Source organism: Homo sapiens, chromosome 2 (assembly GCF_000001405.40).
Source record: "Homo sapiens chromosome 2, GRCh38.p14 Primary Assembly".
Classification (NCBI taxonomy): Eukaryota; Metazoa; Chordata; class Mammalia; order Primates; family Hominidae; genus Homo; species Homo sapiens.
The window spans coordinates 155,142,249-155,164,314 of NC_000002.12; the positions used below are offsets into that span (position 1 = coordinate 155,142,249).

Sequence of the window (22,066 nt, forward strand, 5' to 3'; positions counted from 1 at the left end):
AGCACATTGAAATATAGTCTGATTCAGCTAATGAAAAAGTAATTTAAAAACTAATGGAGGCACAAGTTTGTAACATAGAATCAAAACCAGAAAAAAAATGATTCCACTGAGGCTAAGAGTTCACTGCTAAGCATTTTATTAATAAAAGGGTGAGTAAGCAGTGCCAAAGTTGAAGGCATAGAAACAATTAGCTCTCAATTAAAAGTCTATTCTTGGCCCTAAAGGAAGAAATCTCTATAGGGCAGTGGAGACAGAAATTTGATTGTAAAGAGATGATGAAGTGAGTAAATAAGAGTTGAAAATATAAAGGTAGACTATTTTATAGAACTTTGAAGAAGTCTGGCAATGAAGAGAAGGAAAGGCTACTATGTGATTCTTTATATTAAATGAAATTTTAGAAATATTTGCTTAGTATGTATTAAGATAGCTTCAATGGCTTGACTTTTGGGGATTTTTTTTCCTCTTTGTTTATTCAGTCTACCTGATTGATCTGCACTTCATATGGATTTATGCCATTTTGATCCTCAACTGTCTGAACTAAACTCTCGCTAGACCCATCTGTTCTGTCTTGATCTTTGGCCTACCTCATACTGCTGGCTTAACTGTTTGTATTTTCAATATCAGTTAGGATGTCTCTGAACCAACTGGGAACTTCCTATCCATACTACAGCTTGAATTTACACAAAAGCAAAGCTTATTAAGATCCTTTATATATTTCTCAAAGCTGCAGCATTGAAAAGGATCACATGCCAAGCTTTGAGTTTGCCACAGGCAATTTGGAAATATCATTTCTAAAAAACTGTACTCATTGTGGGACTAAGATGTTAGACCTTCAGTGGGGAAGTGATTCACAGGTAAAAAGACCAAGTTGGAGGCAAAAAGAATGTATTGAGCTGTGAGATGTTAGAAAGTTAGATCGACAGAGATTAGCAGAAGACAAAAAGAAAACAAAGTAATTAGATGGGAGGGAGATGAAATCTGTGGCCATGCAGATGTACGCCTTGGAAATCTCAGGGCCTTGTAGCGGCTGCTGCTGTTTTGAGAGCTTCAAGGAAAATGTGTAAATGAGAAATGTGTTAGTCAGACAGAGAGTCACTAAAATAAATCATTATCTTTTTATCTTCTAAATATATTGTCTAGTCAACATAGAGCTATGTTAGAAAAAAATGTTACATCATACTTAAGAAGTATTATTTTAAAAGTTTTATCCAAGAAAGCTGTTTCCACTTTCGCATATTGCTTTGTAGTTCATTTTCCAAGAAAATATTTTAAATATGTATGTATTACTTTATCTGAAACCTTTTTATAAAATAATTATGCTTAGCTATATTAATCCAATATATCATATTACAACTAGATTAGAATATCATAATAAAACTACGAGCAAAGAGATTGAGTTTTAGTCTGAAAGATACCATATACTCAAGAATTATAGAGTTAACACACTATTTATTGATAATTAAATACCTATCAGTAGTACACTTACTTATAAGCCATTTTTGTTTTTATTTTTACAGAGGAAAGATTTACATCTTTCTCTGTACCTAACAATAACAGCTGTAAGGGGAAAGGGGAAAGTTCTGCTTGGCCCTCTGCAGGTTTGCTGACAAATCAACTCACAGAAAACAGATAAATTGGAGAAAAGGCATACTAATTTATTTAACATGTATACATGAGAGCTTTCAAAATGAAGACACAGAGATATAGGGGGAAATAGTCTATTTATTTGCTTAGGTTCAACAAAGTATGGACAGCTGTGTAGATATATAATTGTATACAAAGCATATGATCTAATGTTAATAGACAGAGGAGAAGCCCAGCAAGGCCTGTCTGTTTACATTCTTCTTGGCCTCTCTATGCATGTTTTCTCCTTTCTGAGTGGGGGCAGGACTTTTTCTGGAAATGGGGTGTTATGACTTACAGCCAAAGAAGGTAGGTCGGATAATTTCTTTATGGCCACTTTTTACACAGAAAGATGGAGGGAAAGTTGGAGTAATGTTTTTAGGTTTTATGGTTGTCTTTGGGGAAAAGCAGTTCTGGTTTCAATGGCCTGCCCTAGGGAAGAGGGAGTCTAGTTTCTACAGCTAGCCTCTGGAGAGAATGGGACTGAGAAGCAGCAGAACAGGAGAAGGTCAGAGAAAAACGTTTACTTGTGAGGTTGCTTCTGAGTCCTTCATTTTAGGGTCTTGTTTTCTGACCCCAACACAGCATAGCATGGATTCTCAACAAACATGCAAATAGAATAAAACTATCTCCTTAAAATCATCTGCTTATTTAATATTATGTAACAGATAGTTAGGATAAGATTTTAGAGACTTAAAATAATTATGCATTTCTTCGGTTGTTAAAGTACTATTTTTTAGTACTTGTTTTTGAAGTTTCTCATCTAGAATATTTATTACATGAGCGTTTAAATTCTCTGGCTTTTCTACAAAACAATAACAACAACAAAAAACATCCTGATGGGTTAAGGAAGTTAATATAGAGTGAATATTTTCTTAGAAATAGATGCATATTCTGCTTAAATATCTACATAATAACGTCAGTTAGCAAAGGGTAACTTAAAAAAAGTTATCCTCAAAATCTCCTGGGCAATTTTATTTCTCATTTATGTGAAGTCCAATACATTTGATCCTTGTTGTGTGGCCTTTGTACCCAACTATTTTCCAAGCTCTGATTAGGGAGACCCCACCTTGTATTGTGTCTGCTATTTCTAGGGCCTTGGAGAGAAGAGAGTGTTTTTAAGACTGCTTTTTTGGTCAGCTCTGGGAGTGGCACACCATTCTGCAACACACATTCCATTAGCCAGAATTGTGTCTTGTGGTCCCATTCAGAAGCAAAATGTCTGTAGAATGTGTTTAAGTATGTCCAGCAAGCAGAGAAAAACCAAATATTGATAAATACAATCAACTTCTATCACAGTAATAAAGCATTACTTTCTTATTAACATTTTATAAATGTAAATTATTTTATTTTGAGATCTGTGTTCAATGTAAAATTTTTTGAAGGTATTATATTACTTAATGAGGAACTTAAAGTAAAATAATTTAAGTACGGTAATGCAGACAGTAAATTTAGACTTAGTATTTAAATTCAGCAAGGCCCATGCTCAATTCTAGATCACTATGTTTAAGGTCTAATCGTAAAACAGAGCAGCAATTGCAATACAGAGTTAAGTATTTTGGTTGGCAGCAATACATATACTCTATATTTACATGTAAGTTATTACAGTTTAAAAGTATGTGGGAAAATAGGTTCAAAATAGATAAAGATTTTATAACGTAAGAGAATGGAGAACTGAAATAATTATTAAGTTTTCTTAAAGGAAAAATTGCTCTACATTACTACCTAAGTTTATCTTCTGTTTCATTTTGATAAAATTTATGTTAAACAGTCTAATAAAATATTAAATCACACGTCTTTTTCTTAAAGTTCCTTAAAATAATACTCTCGTCTATGTTATCAGTAAACAGTCTTAATATTGCTGTTCTCCTGAGATAATTTTTCTCTAATTGCTGCTCATTATTTAAGGAAACTTTCAATATTAGTAAAACATTGCTCCAAATCTTTCATTTAGAGCTATTATTATACCTGTGCTGTTTTTTCTTCTGCCCACGAAGCCTGTCAAAATGCAAATTGCTTTCTCTGACCAAAAGTACAGCAGGAGCACAGCCTGGCTGCTTTTTACACAAAACCACCAACAGATTTGTTAACAGCTGTTCTTGGGGTCTGTGCACGTAATGGAAACTTCAGAACCTTGCAGGGTTCATGGTTTCTTCTGTCTGCAGCACAGGAATCGTTTAACAGTAGGTGACACTTTTGGCAATGTATAATTAAAGGGCTTGTTTTAGCAAAATTACACCCTGTGTAACACATAATAAAAGATAAGGGGGAAGGAGAGGTAACAGGCCTGGGTATACAATTTAGTTTGTAGCAGAGAATGAGCACAGTTGGGAGCTTGACTATTTTTGCTGTGATTCCTGAGGTCATATTAAGCAAAACAAATCACTATGTTTCTACTTTATTCAGGTGACAAGTGGATCGATAAGATAATTAATAATATCTCTTCTTCCCTATTTGGCTAATTGAGACGAGGGAAGATTATAAACGGGTCTACAACATGAAAAACCAGAAGTCATTTAATTTGAATGCCAGCATCACCTCCCCAAGGTTATTGATATTTGATTTAAAGGGGAATAAAAGATGGACAATTTAAGTGAATCTGACTTGTATTGTTCTGAATCCATATGCATTGATTCAGATTTGTGAGATGTCTTTTCAACAAGGTAGCTTTGGATCAGTGGGGCTTGCATATTTGATCATATTTCTTTCAGAACCTTTCTTAAATACTCTTCATTTGTTACCACCAGGCAAAGGCAAATCTCTAGTTTAGAAAACTTGATTTTAAAATAAATTAGAAAGTAAAGAGAGAAAAGGCATGTTCCATTCCTGACATTTGTATATACTATTACTCATTGAAAACATAACATGGTAAGTTTGTTTCATAGTCATTACCTCTACCATCATCTGTTACCCCCTTTGAACTACACCGTTAATTATCTTTGCCTACTTCTGAAATGCATATACATAAAATCTTATTGTATGTAACATTTGAATATAGCGTTTTTGCTTATCATTATGTTACTGAGATTTATCAGTGTTGTCACACATAATTTCAGTTTATTTTTATTGACATGAAGCATCCTATAATATGAATATGCCACACTATATTTAATATTGATGGACATTTTAGTTATTATAAATCATGATGATATAGTTTTGCATGTACTTTGATGGACACATGCAAGCATCTTATTAGGTAATACAATATATTATAGAATTGCTACTTTATAAAATATATGTATGTTTAGCTTCAGTAAATACTGCCAAATAATTGTCTAAAGGGATTGTTCCAAGTCACATTCCTGCCATCAATATATGAGAGTTCCATATCCTCACCAACACTTGGAAATATTAGTATTTTATTATATTTTAGTTATTCCAGTAAGTATACAGTGGGATTTCATTGTTGTAACATTTGTTTGCCCAATGATGAATGAGGTTAAACATCTTTTCACATGTTTATGCATTATTTGGATGGCTTTTATTTGAAGCACCTGCCCAAGTCTGTAGCCTATCTTCTTATCAGGTTATTTATCTTGATATTGTTGACCTGAGACATCTTTTATAAATTTTTAATATTTGTTATATATACATATATGTGTGTGTGTATACACAAACATTTAACTATAATCTTTTCTTGATTTTTTGCCTTTTCTAACCCTTAATGATGTCTTTTAAGATATAAAATTTTAATTAACTTTAAGTTCAATTTGTCAAATTATCCTTTTCTTTTGTTAATTTTTTGTATTATGTTACAATCAACTGACTATATATGTGTGGGTGTCCCTCTTTATATTCTATTCTATTGATGAGTTTATCTCTATCTGTACCCATACCTCACTGTTCATTCACACTGTAATTACATGAAGATGAAATACTTAGTGTTCTAAGTTCTCCTGCATCATAATTGTCTTTGTTATTCTTTTTTTTGCATTTTCATGTAAGTTAGACAATCCATGTATTCATTTTCATAAAATAAACTACTGGAAATTTGTTTTGAATTGCACTAAATCTATGTATCAGTTTTAAAACAACATTTTTAATATTAACTCTTAAAATCATATAGCTTATTCCTAATTAGTTTTTAATTTCTCCCAAAAGTGATTTATATGTTTTTTGTTTTGTTTTTAGAGCTCTTATACCACTTTATTTTTATTTCTAGGTATTTATGTCTTTATCTTTTTATAAATAGTATCATTCAATATTTTTTTCAATTGGTTGCTAGAATTTCTGATATTTTCAATTTGTGTGTATTAGTCAGGGCTCTCCAGATGGATGGAAATAATAGGATATATATATATATATATATATATATATATATATATATATATATATCTTCTATTATAAATATTACATAGTTTGTAAAAATAAACTCATATATATATATATATATATATATATATATATATATATATGTATATTTGGGAATTTATTAAGTAGTATTAAGTCACATGATCACAAGGTCCCACAATAGGCCATCTGCAAGCTGAGGAGCAAGGAAGCCAGTCTGAGTCCCAAAGCTGAAGAGCCTGGAGTCTGATGTTCAAGGGCAGGAAGCATCCTGCATGGGAGAAAGATGCAGGCTGGGAGGCTAAGCCAGTCTAGCCATTTCATGTTTTTCTGCTTGCTTTCTATTCACTGGCAGCTGACTAGATGGTGCCCACCCAAATTAAGGGTGGGTCTGCCTTCCCCAGCCCACTGACTCAAATGTTAATCTCCTTTGGCAACAGCCTCACAGACACACCCAGAATCAATACTTTGCATCCTTCGATCAAGTTGACACTCAGTATTAACCATCACACTGTGTTTTGCCTTCTTTCTCCTTGATACATTTTTTGTAAGGTATTACTTGATTTTATTAAGATTTTCAAAGTCTGAGCTTTAAAATTTATGGGGAGTTCTTCATTTTATGTTTTCTATTTCTTTGATTTTTATTCTTCTTTAATAGTTTCTAACTTCCACATTAATTATGTTTTGTTGATTTTGTTGATTTTTTTAGCTTCCTTTCTTTTACATTTATTCAATTCTATAAATTTTCCTAAAAGTAGTGCTTTAGTTTTATATCATATTTTTACGTATAATATTTTCATAACTATTTAGAATATTTTCTAATTTCCATTATGATTTCTTCTATAACTAAAGTATTATTAAGAATTTAATTTCTAAGCATTTGGGATGTTTTATTTGTTATTTTTGTTTTGTTTTATTGTCTTTTGTATTTTCTTTTAGTTTGTGTTTATATAGTTTTCTTGAGGTATCACTGACATACAGTAAATTGTACAAATTTAAATTATACCATCTGAAAGTTTTGACATATTTATACAAAACTGTGAACCACTGGCACAATTAAGAAAATAAACGTATCAATAATCCAAAAGTACATTGTATTAATTCATTATCCTAAATATTTGACTGTTTTTTTTTCTGGTCTAATTTTTTAAATAGTCATCTCCATCTGGATTCTTTTCCTTCTTCTTGACTTCATTTTATGCTCAGTGTTTTCACATACATTTTTAGCTGAGCAAAGTTCCTCCATGAGGCATTCCACTCAAACTCATTTTTCCTTGACAGTGGGTGGGTCAGTCTCATAAATTACTTCTTTTACGCCAGAGCATCTGAACATCTGAACATTGATCTGAGATAACTGGTAGATTTTAGCATTTTGATTTATTTTCTAAAGAGAGAGTGCACAGTTAATCATCTATGCAATATTTATATTGTAAAGGAACACTTGTTTAAAAATATATACTTTTAACATGATGGGAGAGAAATTTTCAGCTCTAAAACTACATAGGGTTTTATTAAATTTTCCAGAGATTAATGGAATGGTTTACAGGCACATTGTAAAAAATGCATTGTATGTTAATATATTTTAAAACTCCTTTTAACTTCTGCCAGTGTTTAATATGGGGCTGGATAATAGATGGGTACGTACAAGAGACTAATAAAGTGAAGGCTGCAGGAGGTGAGATGTGCAGTGTAGCAGGCCTTGTGGCTACACAGACGTGGCTCACAACTCACCCAATTTGTTTCTCAGCATGTGTCTTGATGTGTTTTATAAATTGGAATTGTTTTAAAAATCAGTCCAAGTAAAAAATATACAAACAAAAAGCAGACTTTAAAATGACTTTTAAAAAGACCCTCTCTAAGATGATTTTAAGCAAGATCCTCATTTCTAGATCACACAAATCCCCAGGAGGCTTACAAGGACTTATTGATCTCCATTTCTTATTTATCATGCTTTGAAATGAAAAGCACAATATATATGGTATATGTGTGTGTGTGTGTGTGTTGATGAGAGTTTGTACAACTGTGATTCAATCACGGTATATTTTAATTTAATTTAAAATGCTCCAAACAGATTTTAAGAAGCCAAAATACAAATGTGGTCTTTTAAAATGAGTTCTAGAGAATATCAGAATAGTTCAATTCTACCTACTGTTATAGAAGGTTCAAATTAGGATTATTGGAAAAGTGTTTAGCTTAAGTGTTAGGATAAAATTACTAATAAATTATTATAATTATTGGACTACTTAGTACATCATTTTATATGTCAAAATCTGTGCTAATTATATTGCATATGAAATCTTAATTATTCCAAGTGTTCTATGACATAGTATTTTATCACTCCTATTTTTTGTATGGGAATGTTGTGTTTCTGATCTGCTAATGGACTCTTTCACGATCACAAAGCATATAGATAGAGCAGTTGGAAATTTAATTCAGTTCTACATGTCCTACAGGACTTCTTGTTTCTTTTTTCTTTTTCTTTTCTTTTCTTTTCTTTTTTTTTTTTTTTTTTTTTGAGTGGAGTCTCACTCGGTCGCCTGGGCTGGAGTGCAGTGGTACGATCTTGGCTCACTGTAACTTCTGCCTCCTGGGTTCAAGCAATTCTCCTGCCTCAGCCTCCCAAGTAGCTGGGATTACAGGCACCCACCACTGCATCCAGCTAATTTTTTGTGTTTTTAGTAGAGACCATGTTGGCCAGGCTGGTATCGAACTCCTGACCTCGTGATTTGCCCACCTCAGCCTCCCAAAGTGCTAGGATTACAGGCATGATCCACCACGCCCGGCCCCCACAGGATCTTTTAACTCTGCTAAGCTTTTTATTTTTTATTTTTTTTAACAAGGACAGTATATTTTTCTCACAGTTTAAATGGTTATTTTATAATTATATAGTTTATAACTATAATTTCCATCTTGTTCTTTTTAGAATCCTTGGTTTATAGACCATAGTAATATAGGTTTCCAAATATAGAACCTAAAGTTGTGTTCAAATCATAGGAACGTCTGTGCCTAAAAGGCTGCAAATTATTAGATCAAACCCTCTGGAACACATTTTTTGTTAGATTTTATGGGGTTAGCCATGAAGATTTGATCCTCTATCTGGATTTCATGTTAAAGGCTTAGCACTAAGTTTTTCTTGCCAAAGAGCTGCTTTTCTTTCTGTTTAAATTGTAGGCTTTTGTTTTTTTCTTCAGATGAATATGCAGGTTGACATCTCTTTAGAAATACAACATATCTAAGTGATATGTCATGGAACTTCTCTTTATTTATTATTCTTGTCGTTCTTTTTCTTTTCCTCTTCCATTTGGCTGCCCATGATCCAAATGCAATTCTTTTTCCACTACTAAAGCATATCCATACTTTAAATCACCTAATGTATTGCTTTCATTCTAATCAATATTTGCAAGTCCTCAGTATTAGTACTTGGATTGTTAATTCAGATCACCCCCTGCCAATAAACTAATGAAAGCATTTTGGCCACTCTTTCTGCTCTGTCAGAGAGCATATTACAAAGACTGACCTTGTGTGGTGATTTCTAGAAACTGTAACAGGGTAACAGGGAAATGGAGGCCTTCAGATAATATGTTTTACTCAAATAAATATGAAAGAGTTTAATTGATTTAATAGACTGTACTTACTAGCATTTAAAATTATTTGATATAGTAGAGCTTTAAGATACAGTTTTTCCACAGGAACTTAATTGCTTTACATGGTTACTCTCAATTATTTCTATGATGCAACCTGTATCTTCCATAGGTATAATTTTTCCTAGCTCACAATTCCATGTCTCTCCCTTTAAATAAAAGTTTTGGAATACAATGGGTTGGAGAAAGATATAAGTGCTTGTGAGTTATAACTGAATCACTGGTCATAACTTCTTTCTGGATTTTCGTTGATTGTTCCCTTTAGGGAAGCAGATTCTGAAACTGGAATTGGAAACCAGAAAGTTGATTAGAGTGTGTTCTGGGGTGAGGGTGGCAAGGCGGAAATGCCCATGTGAGAAAGGGGAGAGGGAGGGACTAGGTAGTAGCAACAGAGGTTTCCCTCACTTACTTGGAGTTCCTGAGCTGCAGCACCCATCAGATTTGTCATTTTTGAACCAAGGGAGCCTAGGCCTTTTGAAACCTTCATATAAGCAGTCTTAGGATTCAGGCTGTCCTGGGGATGGGGAAGGCATGTCACCTTGGATAAGACAGCTTTCTTTGGCTGCAGAAATTTTCTGAATAAAGGAGAATCTGAACAGCCCAGTATCTACCACAATTTTAAAGGGCATATTTGAAAGCAATAAACCTAAATATATTTATACATTTTGTATTCTGAATGGGATTTTTCTTACTTTTGGAAGTCAAACTTCTCTCACAGCTTTCTCTAAATTTTAGTATTCATTACTTACTCTCAAAACACATGAAAGGGGTCTTGTATTAGTCCGTTTTCACGCTACTGATAAAGGTATACCAGAGATGGGGCAATTTACAAAAGGAAGAGGTTTATTGGACTTACAGTTTCACGTGGCTGGGGAGGCCTCACAATCACAGCAGAAGGTGAAAGTCAAGGAAGAGCAAGTCACAACTTATGTGGATACCAGCAGGCAAAAGGGAGAGCTCGTGCAGAAAAACTCCTGTTTTTAACACCATCAGATCTCATGAGACTCATTCACTATCATGAGAACAGCCTAGGAAAGACCTGCTCCCATAGTTCAGTCACCTCCCCCTGGGTTCCTCCCTTGACACATGGGAATTGTGGGAGTTATAATTCAAGATGAGATTTGGGTAGGGACACAGCCAAACCATATGAGGTTTTTTATTTCTAATACACATTTATATGTTTTTAATCAAATGAGTGACTAGACAAATGCAAAGGAAATGGAGTGCTGTATAAATATAAAATCTATTTATTTAAAACTAAGCTAAAAAGAAGTCCAATATTAGACTTAACAAACTTAAATAGTGCTAACTTAATAAACTTTTTAATATAACCAGAAATAATAAAATGATAAACATAAATATTCTGAACATTTTGGTGAGCTGTCTCCCAAGGCCTTCTTGATCTTTTTACTCATATCTAAATGAAAAGGAATATATTGGTGTACTTTTAGCAACAGGAATTATGTTCAATTATATTATCTAAAATAGGCATTTACTTTTTTAACTGTTAAACTCACCTGAAATTTTGACTAAGAATTTAGGCAAAAATATATTACCATACCACAAATGAATTTTTTAAAAGCATGTGTTCATTTTCCCCCATCTGGAATAAGTCTAGATCCATGATTTTGAATTCCCTGATGTATTCAGAAAGAACTTGAAATGAATACTATTCAGAGCAGTGATTACTTTCAGAAAATATTCAGAGGTAGCTTTCAGTAACTGCTAGCATTTTTTTTTTGAATGCTATGTTTCAGCAAATTGTGCTGTGTACTTAGTGTATCTTATCTCATTTAGTTTTCACTATAGGACACAAAGGAATGCTATTAAACCTGTTTTCCAGATGAGAAATCTGAGACTCAGAGATTTTAATGAAGCTGCCCAAAGCTAGAAGGATACTAAGTAGAAAAATCAAGGAATAAATCATTATTTGGACCCAACATGCAGGTTCTTTCTACTAACACCATGCTACAGGGCTCACCAAAATTGGTACTCATTTGGAATTTGAGTATTAAGCAATATAACAAAGATACATAATCAAAGTTCTTGAAACAAAGCACTCAGAGACTGTTTATACCTGTTTCTAGAGAGAGTGATAGAAATAAACATAGATCTAGAAATAATTGCTTCAAAATACATTATGTAGTCTGGTATAACAACTATTATACACTTCCACAAATAAAGGACAGTAATGTGGTTTCTTTCCAAAATATCCTAAATAAGTGTGATTAATAAGGATTGAAACAAATATATATCTTTAAAGAGTAAGACTTAAATAACTTACATGATAAATACATTAGATAATTTAGTGTGAAGAGTAACTTCTAATGGTTTCAGCAATATATATATTTTATTGGCTGTCTCTCAGGACCCATTTCTTCAGATGGTTCTGTGATATTATATCAGACATAAATATCCACTTCAGAGAACAAGTACACTAAAGCTATATCTCTAAGATGACATATCATCATTATTTAGCATTGCATAACTAAGTGCACACAGACAAACAAAAGCTAAACAACAAAGTTCGGAAGTTTGACTGCATGTAACTTAGGAAACTCAATATATAGGTAATCCAGTATAAATCGAATTATTCTTCTTGGGTAGATGTAAACATCCCCAATTATTCTTCATTGCAACTGTATCAGTCTGCCAGGGCTGCCATATAAAAATCACAGATGGAGTGGCTTGAACAACAGAAATTTATTTCTTCACAGCTCTGGAGGCTGGAGTTTCCAGATCAAGGTGCTGACAGGTTTGTTTTCTCTGAGGCTTCTCTCTTTGGCTTGCAGATGGCTGCCTTCTCACTGTGTCCTCACATGGCCTTTTCTTTGTGCTTGTGCATCCGTGATGTCTCTTCCTTTTCTTGCAAGCACATCCCTCAGTGCTATTGAATTACGGTTCCATCCTTATGACCTCACTTAACCTGGCCCTTTCTTCAAGGACAGTCACATTGGGGGTTAGGGCTTCCGCATATGAATTTGGAGAGAGATACAATTCAGTTCCTATCACCAACTCACCCAGCAACCTAAGCACTATACACTAAAACAACCTACAGATTATGTCAAGCTGAGACTTGAGAAGCATGAGGACAGGGCTGATAGGTATTTTCAGGGCAGAAGAGGAAACCAAATCACAAGTTCAGCAACATAGAACTGGTCAGTAGCTTCTTAAGATAAAAGAGGCAGGAAAGTGGGCAACATAAAGAGGCAAAAGGTGGATACACAGGCTAACTTTATACAACTGGCCAAGCAAAGAGCAGGTCTGAGATGTAGCCAAAATAGTGGTCAGTGGTACAGATCATAATATGGATACCATGATACTGGTACACAGAGAAAAATTCTGGTTAAAAAAAAAAAGTCAGTAAAGAACCTAGGTGAAGGTGTAGGTTAAGTAAAGTCAGGATGCAGGCATATGGCATTAGAATCAACTCGCTACTGATTCCGTGACTCAGAGAAGTAGTTCTCCTGAGTTTTTTCCTGTCCAAAATCAGCTTTTCTGAAGTGCTACCCAAATGGAGAAGATTAAGCTCATTTAGCTGAGGGAGTGAGATGGGAGAATAAAAAGCAAATGGTTACAGTAACTGTCTCTGTACCTTGAGGGTTATCTTATGCGATGGCGTGAGGGTGGAAAGAAGGATATCTAAAATGAGGTACAAAAAGAAACAAATGAACTTGTATAATATTATTCAAAACAATAAACAGGGTTAAATGTTAATGCCTGCACACAGTCAGATTCCTTTATGCTTTTCTGGTAATTTCTTTAAACTATTTCTGAATTATTTCCTATTTTTCCAAGTTCTGAAAAGAATATTTGTCAAATTCACATTTTAAAAAATGCACTGAAAGCATGTACTAGCACTTCTCAATGATACATGGTCATAAACTGGGAAAGTGTATATGTTTGATATTTCCCCCACTATTCTAATTGCTTTTCACATAAGATCATTGCAAAAGATATGTTAGCTAATAGAAATAAACACACTGAAAAAAAAATGAGAAGTTCTTATGAGCAAATACCTCATTATTTCGGAAGCATAGATGTTATCAGTTTAGGTAACTTCATTAAGAGTCTTTTTGTTGGCACAAATATGTTTTGGTTTCAGGATGTGGCTGATGTTATGTTACATATTTCTCAAAACCAAAATATATGCAAGTCTTATTTTACAAGAAAATATTTGGGTTAAATCTCTGTAAACCCTATGCCTACTGGGCATGCACAGAGATTAAGGAAAATATCATTCATTAAGTATCCTCAGGGAACAAAGCTATCCCAGTTAATTTTGCATCTGTTTGCTATTTTTAGCCTGCATTTTGTTTATTGAATTATTTTTCAGCATTTGAAAAGTAAAAAAGTTTAATTTTTATATTAAAATTGACTGATCACAATTGATAAATCACAATACCTCTTCAAATAATCACCAATAATACAATATAGTGTGAGACAAAAAAGATAATATTGAAAAAGATAATATTAAAAGATAATATTAAAAAAGATAATATTGAAATACATTATGGTGATACTTTATTATTTTTATAGTCTTATTAAAATTTCTTTTTTTTTTAGGTTTCTTAGGCTTCTATATATTACCTTATTTTCAGAAAATATGCAACCCTGATTATTTCAATTGCTTAATGTACACCCAATTTGGGGGTTTAAAAAACTATAAACAGATCATAATATCTTACTTTAATTATATTCTTATTTCATTCCAGTTTGTTGACTCCCAGACATCTTTGGTTTATTTCTTAGTCATCTGAGGACTTTCCTGCCTTAAGTGGTCATACATAATTTTTTGATTTCATATTGAAAAGATTTATAACATTGCTTCACAAATCTATTCAACATTTAAAATTATTTTCAAGTGCTTTGATCCTTTTTGTATTTTTTCTGATGTGGGTTAATTTATAAATTTGACTTAAACAAAAATAAATTGTTAGAATTTAATTATAAGCCACAATCTTCTTCTGCTACTCCAGCCCCAAACTTAAATTTTGCCACATTTTTCTGGTTCTTAAATGATAGCCATCAGCCATCTTTATGAAATCTGATTTTACTAGATGTTTTCTTTATTGCTTTCTTTTCTTTTACTCTTATTACATTGGAAATATTCACTTTTAGAACAACTTATAATAATGGAATTCCATATATTCCTTCCATTTTTAATAAGAGAAAGAATTCAGAGTAGAAATGTTTTTTATAGTATTAAAAGGAAAACTTAAGTTAAATTTATGATCTGAGAGAGACCAAGGTAAATACCCCTTTCATTAATTAAGACGGCTCCTAAGGTTAAGGAAACAAAGTTTCCTACAGGTTGATGATTCAGGACCTGGCTAACATGAAAAATATTTAAATTCCAGAAAAACCACACTTTCGTTAAACTCCATAACAGAAGAAATTATCAGATAAATTACCAGAACTCTGATTTACAACCCAAGTATTACAACCCTGATTGGACAGAGGACTGGCTTTACATTCTTTTCTAATGAGCTACTATAGACTTTAAGCCAGTTACAGCCAGCTTACAGAGGCTGTGCACAAACTTTGTGTCCTATAGTTAACCTTTTGACTAAAAATGCTAAATTCCACCACATTTTAATGCTAAAACCCGTTCTCAAAGTGAACATGGGATGTATGTTACATATATTACCCACTGTGCACATGCCCAGCTCCCTTTGTGAATACATATGGTTTTCCCCCCAAACCTGCTGAATATGTACAATTTATTGTATAATATGGACCCTGTGAGGCATAAAACACAACCCATCTTCCCCTCTTTGAAGAGAACCTCTTTGGCACAACTTTGACTGGAGACTAGGCTTCCCAGCTTGCAAACTGATACCACTAATAAAGTTCTCCTTTCTACTATCTAGCCATTCTGGTTGTCTTTTGGGAGACAAATTTAATGGAGTTTAATTGAGCAAAGAACAATTCGTGAATGGTACAGCCCCCTCCTCAACCAGAATAGGTTCAGAGCAACTCTGTCACTGCTGCATGGTCAGAGAGGGTTTATGGACAGAAAAAGGAAAGTGAGGTTCAGAAAACTGAAGTGACATACAGAAACAGCTGGATTGGTTATAGCTCAGTGTTTAACTTCTTTGATCACAGTTTGAACAGTTGGCCGCTTGTGACTGCCTAAGGCTTGGTGATTGGTGCAAGAGTAGTTTACAGTCTGTTTACACATCAAGTTAGATTACAGATCACTATGCACAGAGAAACCTTTAGGCTGAACTTAAAATATGTAAGGAAGCAAAGTTAGGCTAAAATTAATTTAATAATAGAAACAGGACATAGGCATGGGCAAACACTTCATGACTAAAACACCAAAAGCTATGGCAACAAAAGACAAAATAGACAAGTGGGATCTAATTAAACTAAAGAGCTTCTGCACAGCAAAAGAAACTACCATCAGAGTGAACAGGCAACCTACAGAATGGGAGAAAATCTTTGCAATCTATCCATCTGACAAAGGGCTAATATCCAGAGTCTACAAAGAACTTAAACAAATTTACAAGAAAAAAAATCAACCCCATCAAAAAGAGGGCAAAGGATATGAACAGACACTTCTCAAAAGAAGACATTTATGCAGCCAACAGACATATGAAAAAATGCTCATCATCACTGGTCATCAGAGAAATGCAAATCAAACCCACAATGAGATACCATCTCACGCCAGTTAGAATGGCAATCATTAAAAAGTCAGGAAACAACAGATGCTGGAGAGGATGTGGAGAAATAGGAACACTTTTACACTGTTGGTGGGAGTGTAAATTAGTTCAACTATTGTGGAAGACAGCGTGGCGATTCCTCAAGGATCTAGAACTAGAAATACCATTTGACCTAGCCATCCTATTACTGGGTATATACCCAAAGGATTATAAATCATGGTACTATAGAGTCACATGCACACGTATGTTTATTGCAGCACTATTCACAATAGCAAGGACTTGGAACCAACCCAAATGTCCAACAATAATAGGCTGGATAAAGAAAATGTGGCACATTATACACCATGGAATACTATGCAGCCATAAAAAAGGATGAGTTAATGTCCTTTGCAGGGACATGGATGAAGCCTGAAACCATCATTCTCAGCAAAATATCACGAGGACACAAAACTAAGCACCATGTGTTCTCACTCATAAGTGGGAGTTGAACAATGAGAACACATGGACACAGGGAGGGGAACATCACACACTGGGGCCTACTGGGGGTGGGGGTCTGGGGGAGGTATAGTGTTATAAGAAATACTAATGTAAATGATGAGTTAATGGGTGCACCAAACCAACATGGCACATGTATACCTATGTAACAAACCTACACATTGTGTACATGTACCCTAGAACTTAAAGTATTCAAAAAAAAAAGAAATAGGAATTCTACTTACTGAACATTGAGAGTCACAATTCAGTTAAATATTGCCAGTGAAGTTACTCGAAGACCTTTGCATTTTACTACCTCAGACATATTGTTTTACTAAACGGTCTTCAGAAATTACTTCCAAAAGAGTTTTTGTTTTTAAACACCCAAAAGAAAAATGTTGAATTAAAAAACCTTAAAGAAGATAAATTAATCTTGTTTTATAAAAGTTCTTTACCCTCTTTATATTCATGCTCAGAAACCTATATCATTCAAATTCTTTCTTATACACTTCTAATCTATTATAGCCCTGGCTAGGTACACACATACACACACACACACACACACACACACACACACACACACACACATGCCTGTATGCATATGCATATCTTTCAAAGCACTTTATGTTGGCTATAAATTCTATAATAATTTCTACTGACTGCTATGTATGAGTGACAAACTAATGTTCAGTTTTAATGTATCCCTCAATTCCTTCCATAAAAATATATATCTTTTACAGCAAATGCATAAAAACCAAAACATGTACATCTTTTCACTAAAAACAAAATACTATTAATAGAAAGTTCAAAATACATGAAAGAATACATCATAATTATGAATTACAAGAGTAAGTTTACAAGAATGTCAATTCTCCAAAAATTTATAAATGTATATATGTGTGTATATTAATAATTGTATATAGGCCAGGAGCAGTGGCTCACACCTGTAATCCCAGCACTTTGGGAGGCTGAGACCAGTGGATCACTTGAGGTCAGGAGTTTGAGACCACCCTGGCCAACATGGCGAAAACCCATATCTAATAAAAATACAAAAATTATCCAGGTATGGTGGCACACCCCTGTAATCCAAGCTACTTGGAAGGCTTCAGAATTGCTTGAGAAGGCAGTGGTTGCAGTGTGCTGAGATGGCACCACTGCACTCCAGCCTGTGTGACAGAATGAGACTCCAGCTCAAAATAATAATAATAATAATAGTAATATTAATAATAATAAATTGTATACAGTTATTCAAATAATAGTTTTTTCCTGAAATTGACAAGGTGATTCTAAAATTTGTACAGAAATGCACAAAACCAAGAATAGCCAAAGCAATCTTGAAAAAGAAAAACATAAAAGCTACTGGATAATTAAAATGGTATAGTATCAGTCCTATTATAGACAGAATACCTCAAAGAACAGAATAGGGAATCCAGAAAAAGACCCACACATGTAGTTACCTGATTTAAGATAAAGTGACAGTATATATTTGACACAGTAAAGAGACTCCTTTCAGTAAAATGTGCTGGATTATTTGGATTAACTGCATCTGTGAATCTGCGGAGGCATGAGAGGAACAGGGCACCTACATGCTGTGCACTGTTTTCTGTGACAGCAAAAGAGCTCATTTCAGTGATGCTGGAGATGAAGGGGAAGAGGTCTTTGGGGTGGAACGACAATGAGTCTTGCACATTGCTTTAAGGTTAACAAAGCTTTTTGTGTTCCTTAATATATTAGAGTTCATAACAATTTTATTTCTGATGTGAAAGAATTTATTGTCAGTAAGATGCCTGGCCTTATTAATTCTTGTCAAGGTAATCATAAGACTGATGGTAAATCTCAAGTGGTCCCTTTTATTTAATTTCCTCTATTTTGGAAAGAAAGATATGCAAAAATCATAGCTGCTTTCTATGGGAAAATCATGGGACTGTCATAAGGCCTCATGTTCTCTTCTTCTCCAAGGATCTGACCACATCTCTGACATCAATACTGAGTGTTGTTCTCAGTTTCCATATATTCAGGAAACATTTTATATGATCCACGTGTAACATCTGGAACTCTTGAGACTTTTTCCTCTTCAATTTCAACATATTATTATAAAATTTAAATCTCCTCCTAACACTGAAATTAGGACATTAAGGAACAAATGTCATCTGAAAAACATTAATGGATCAGATTCATAGGTTTGAAATGGATCTACTTTCAATACAAATGGGGATACAAAACTATATAAAGTAATACAATTCTTTACTTAGAATGCCAAGTAGTCGATAATTTGTACTAAATATAGATTTCATGATGACTAGTAAGGAACATAATCGCTGGAAATGCTAGAATTTAAAAAGCCTCATAATACCAAGTATTAACAAGGATGTGAAGTAACTGGAATTCTCTGATGGAGAATGTTCTTGGTGGGAGCAAAATATGGTAGGGTTATTTAGAAAAAAAATCACATGAACTGTGTCTATGAAAACTGAGTATACACATCCCCTATGTCCCAACACTTCTAGGTATGTACACAATAGAATGTATACTTTTATTGCCCAAAAGACATTACCAAAATGACCACTTCAGCATTATTTGTAATGGCCAAAAACTATAACCACCTAAACATTTATCAGTAGGTGAATGAATAAAGAAAATTTTACAGATTTATACAATGAAATAATTGTAGAATTTAATTTAAGTAGGGTAGAAAATATGCAAAACTAATATATGATTTTAGAAGATAGTGGTTCCACTTGTATTGTAAGCAGTGGCCAAAAACAAGAGTGCATGAAGGAGCCCTCTGGATTTCTAGTAATAGTGTCTCTTGAGCAGGGTGTTAATTATACAGGTATATTCTGTTTATGAAAATTCACCAGACTGCACAGTTAAGCTAGACACATCTTTGTGCATATGTATATATGTATATATGCAAATCTCAATTAAAATAAAAATCAAAAATATTATTTTATACACATTAGTTTATTTCCTATAAAATGTCTGAGACCAAAGTTTGGTTTTAGAAGAGTACGAGTTACACCTATATTTTTTAAAATCTCATTTTCTCTTATTTATTTCAAATGACAAAAATTATATACATTTATGATATACAACATGTTTGGATATATGTATACTTTGTAGAATGGTTAAATCAAGCAAATTAACATATGCATGACTTTCCATACTTATTTTATTTGTAGTGAAAACATTCAAAATCTACTTTCTTAGCAATTTTCAAGTATACAATAAATTGTTATTAACTATAGCCTCCATGTTGCAAATGGATCACACCCAATTTTTTTTTTCAAAGTAAATGCAGCACAGAATTAATTGAGAAGTTTCAGTTTAGTCTGGGTTTTTATTCCTACTTCATTAATCTCATAAAAATTAAATTGCAGTTGGGTGCGGTGGCTCATGCCTGTAATCCCAGCACTTTGGGAGGCCAAGGCAGGCGGATCACAAGGTCAGGAGATGGAGACCATCCTGGCTAACACGGTGAAACCCTGTCTCTACTAAAAATACAAAAAATTAGCCAGGTGTGGTGGTGGGCGCCTGTAGTCCCAGCTACTAGGGAGGCTGAGGCAGGAGAATGGCATGAACCCAGGAGGAGGAGCTTGCAGTGAGCTGAGATTCCAGCCTGGGTGACAGTGTGAGACTCCGTCTCAAAAAAAAAAAAATTTAAATTGCATATATTTTCTATATATATAAAATGTAGCAAGGGACCAGACTTCTCACAAATTTTTATGTTGAAAGTCAAAACTGCTGTATCAGCCATTTCAAAATTCACTAACATTTTTACACTAATAAAGAATGAAATTTCAAGTGTATCAAGCTATCAAGATAAACCTAGAGGGAGGAAGAGGAATGCTTACATGTTTCTACCATCTTGCTTTTTAACTTTAGGTTTCTGTTCTTCTTCCTGCTTTTTAAGATGAGGAAACTAAAGCAGGTTGACTTACTAAGTTCAATTTGTTAGTAAATGGTTAAACTAGGACTTGAACATAGTTTCCTCGTATATCACATGGACAGCATAGCTCTTCTCCCTCATAATCACAAGTTCTTAACATAACACCTAGATACCTTTTTCTTTAAATAAATAATTTGAGTACATCAAAATGAAGCACAATTAATATTTGATAATATCATGTATTACATACTCCAAGCTCAGGCTGTTTGTAATATCAGCAACAGCAACGAATCTAAGCTCTCTAAATTACTCAAGTCCATACAAATGTTATTATGCATTAATTCAACTAAGAAGTAAAGATGGTACAAAATATCTAGAACATAAAATAAATCAACATGTGCCTTAGAATACATCTGCCTGTAGGTGCATTGACTAGAAAAAATATAGAATGAAAACTGAATATAAACTATTGCAATAATTCTTTCAACTTTAAGGGCAGAGATAGGAAAAGACACATTACATGTTTACAGATACTAATTTCTTACAAATAAATTTTATTTGGTATATTTGTGGTTTACAACACAACCAGACTGCACAGTTAAGCTACGCACATCTTTGTGTATATGTATATATGCAAACACCAATAAAAATAAAAATAAAAAATATTATTTTATACACATTAGTTTATTTTCTATAAAATATCTGCAACCAAAGTTCGGTTTTAGAAGAGTACGAATTACACGCATATTATAGAATACAGGAAGATGTACATCAAAGGATACACATGGTACTTTAAGTGTTAACATGGTGAAATATTTTAGATATGTAAGCCAAAAAAGATTGACTGTATTAAAATGGAGGAGACTATGTGTGAATGTACACATATGTTTATATTTGCTAGCAGATTACCTGAAATATCAATGTTATTTTTTCCTTGACGTTTATAATTTCTGAGTATTTGTTAAAGAGACTAAACCTAGAGACAATAATTTTGATGACATTTAGAAATTTGTTTATGATAGATTTTATGAGGGTAAATACAAATTTTATGGAGTACAGACTTTTGACAACACTTTTCAGGATTTTTTTTGCCTGTGGTACACAATTAACTTAGAATTCGAGCCAATGCACTGCCCTTGACTATATAGCATATGTTGTTAATGGTTGTTGGCTGGTTTTGCTGAATAAGTTTATAAAGTTGTTGCAGCATATTTTCTTCACCAAAAAAAGAAAATAAATAATGCTTCTGTCATGTTATTTTAAGGACATCATTTTAAAGTTAGTTTCATTCCTAGTGGAAAACTCTGCAATGCGATAGTAGTAGCATTGAACTAAGGTTAAAAATAAGGTGAAAAATATCAAGATGATTCTGTGAAGCTTTTAAAAATGTGAAAAGTGTATTTTTGGAAATAGCTTTATAAAAGTTTACTCTGTGGGGAAATGGCCATATGGGACAATGATGAAGGGATATAGTTAATGAA

General features: G+C 33.4%; 1 annotated feature.

The window, feature by feature from the left end:
- Positions 3,843 to 3,902: an enhancer, noted in NCBI's record as "active region_16657". NCBI's record gives its function as "activates an Ori minimal core promoter by ATAC-STARR-seq in GM12878 lymphoblastoid cells {active_cell/tissue: GM12878}" and the evidence as "EXISTENCE:reporter gene assay evidence [ECO:0000049][PMID:35858748]".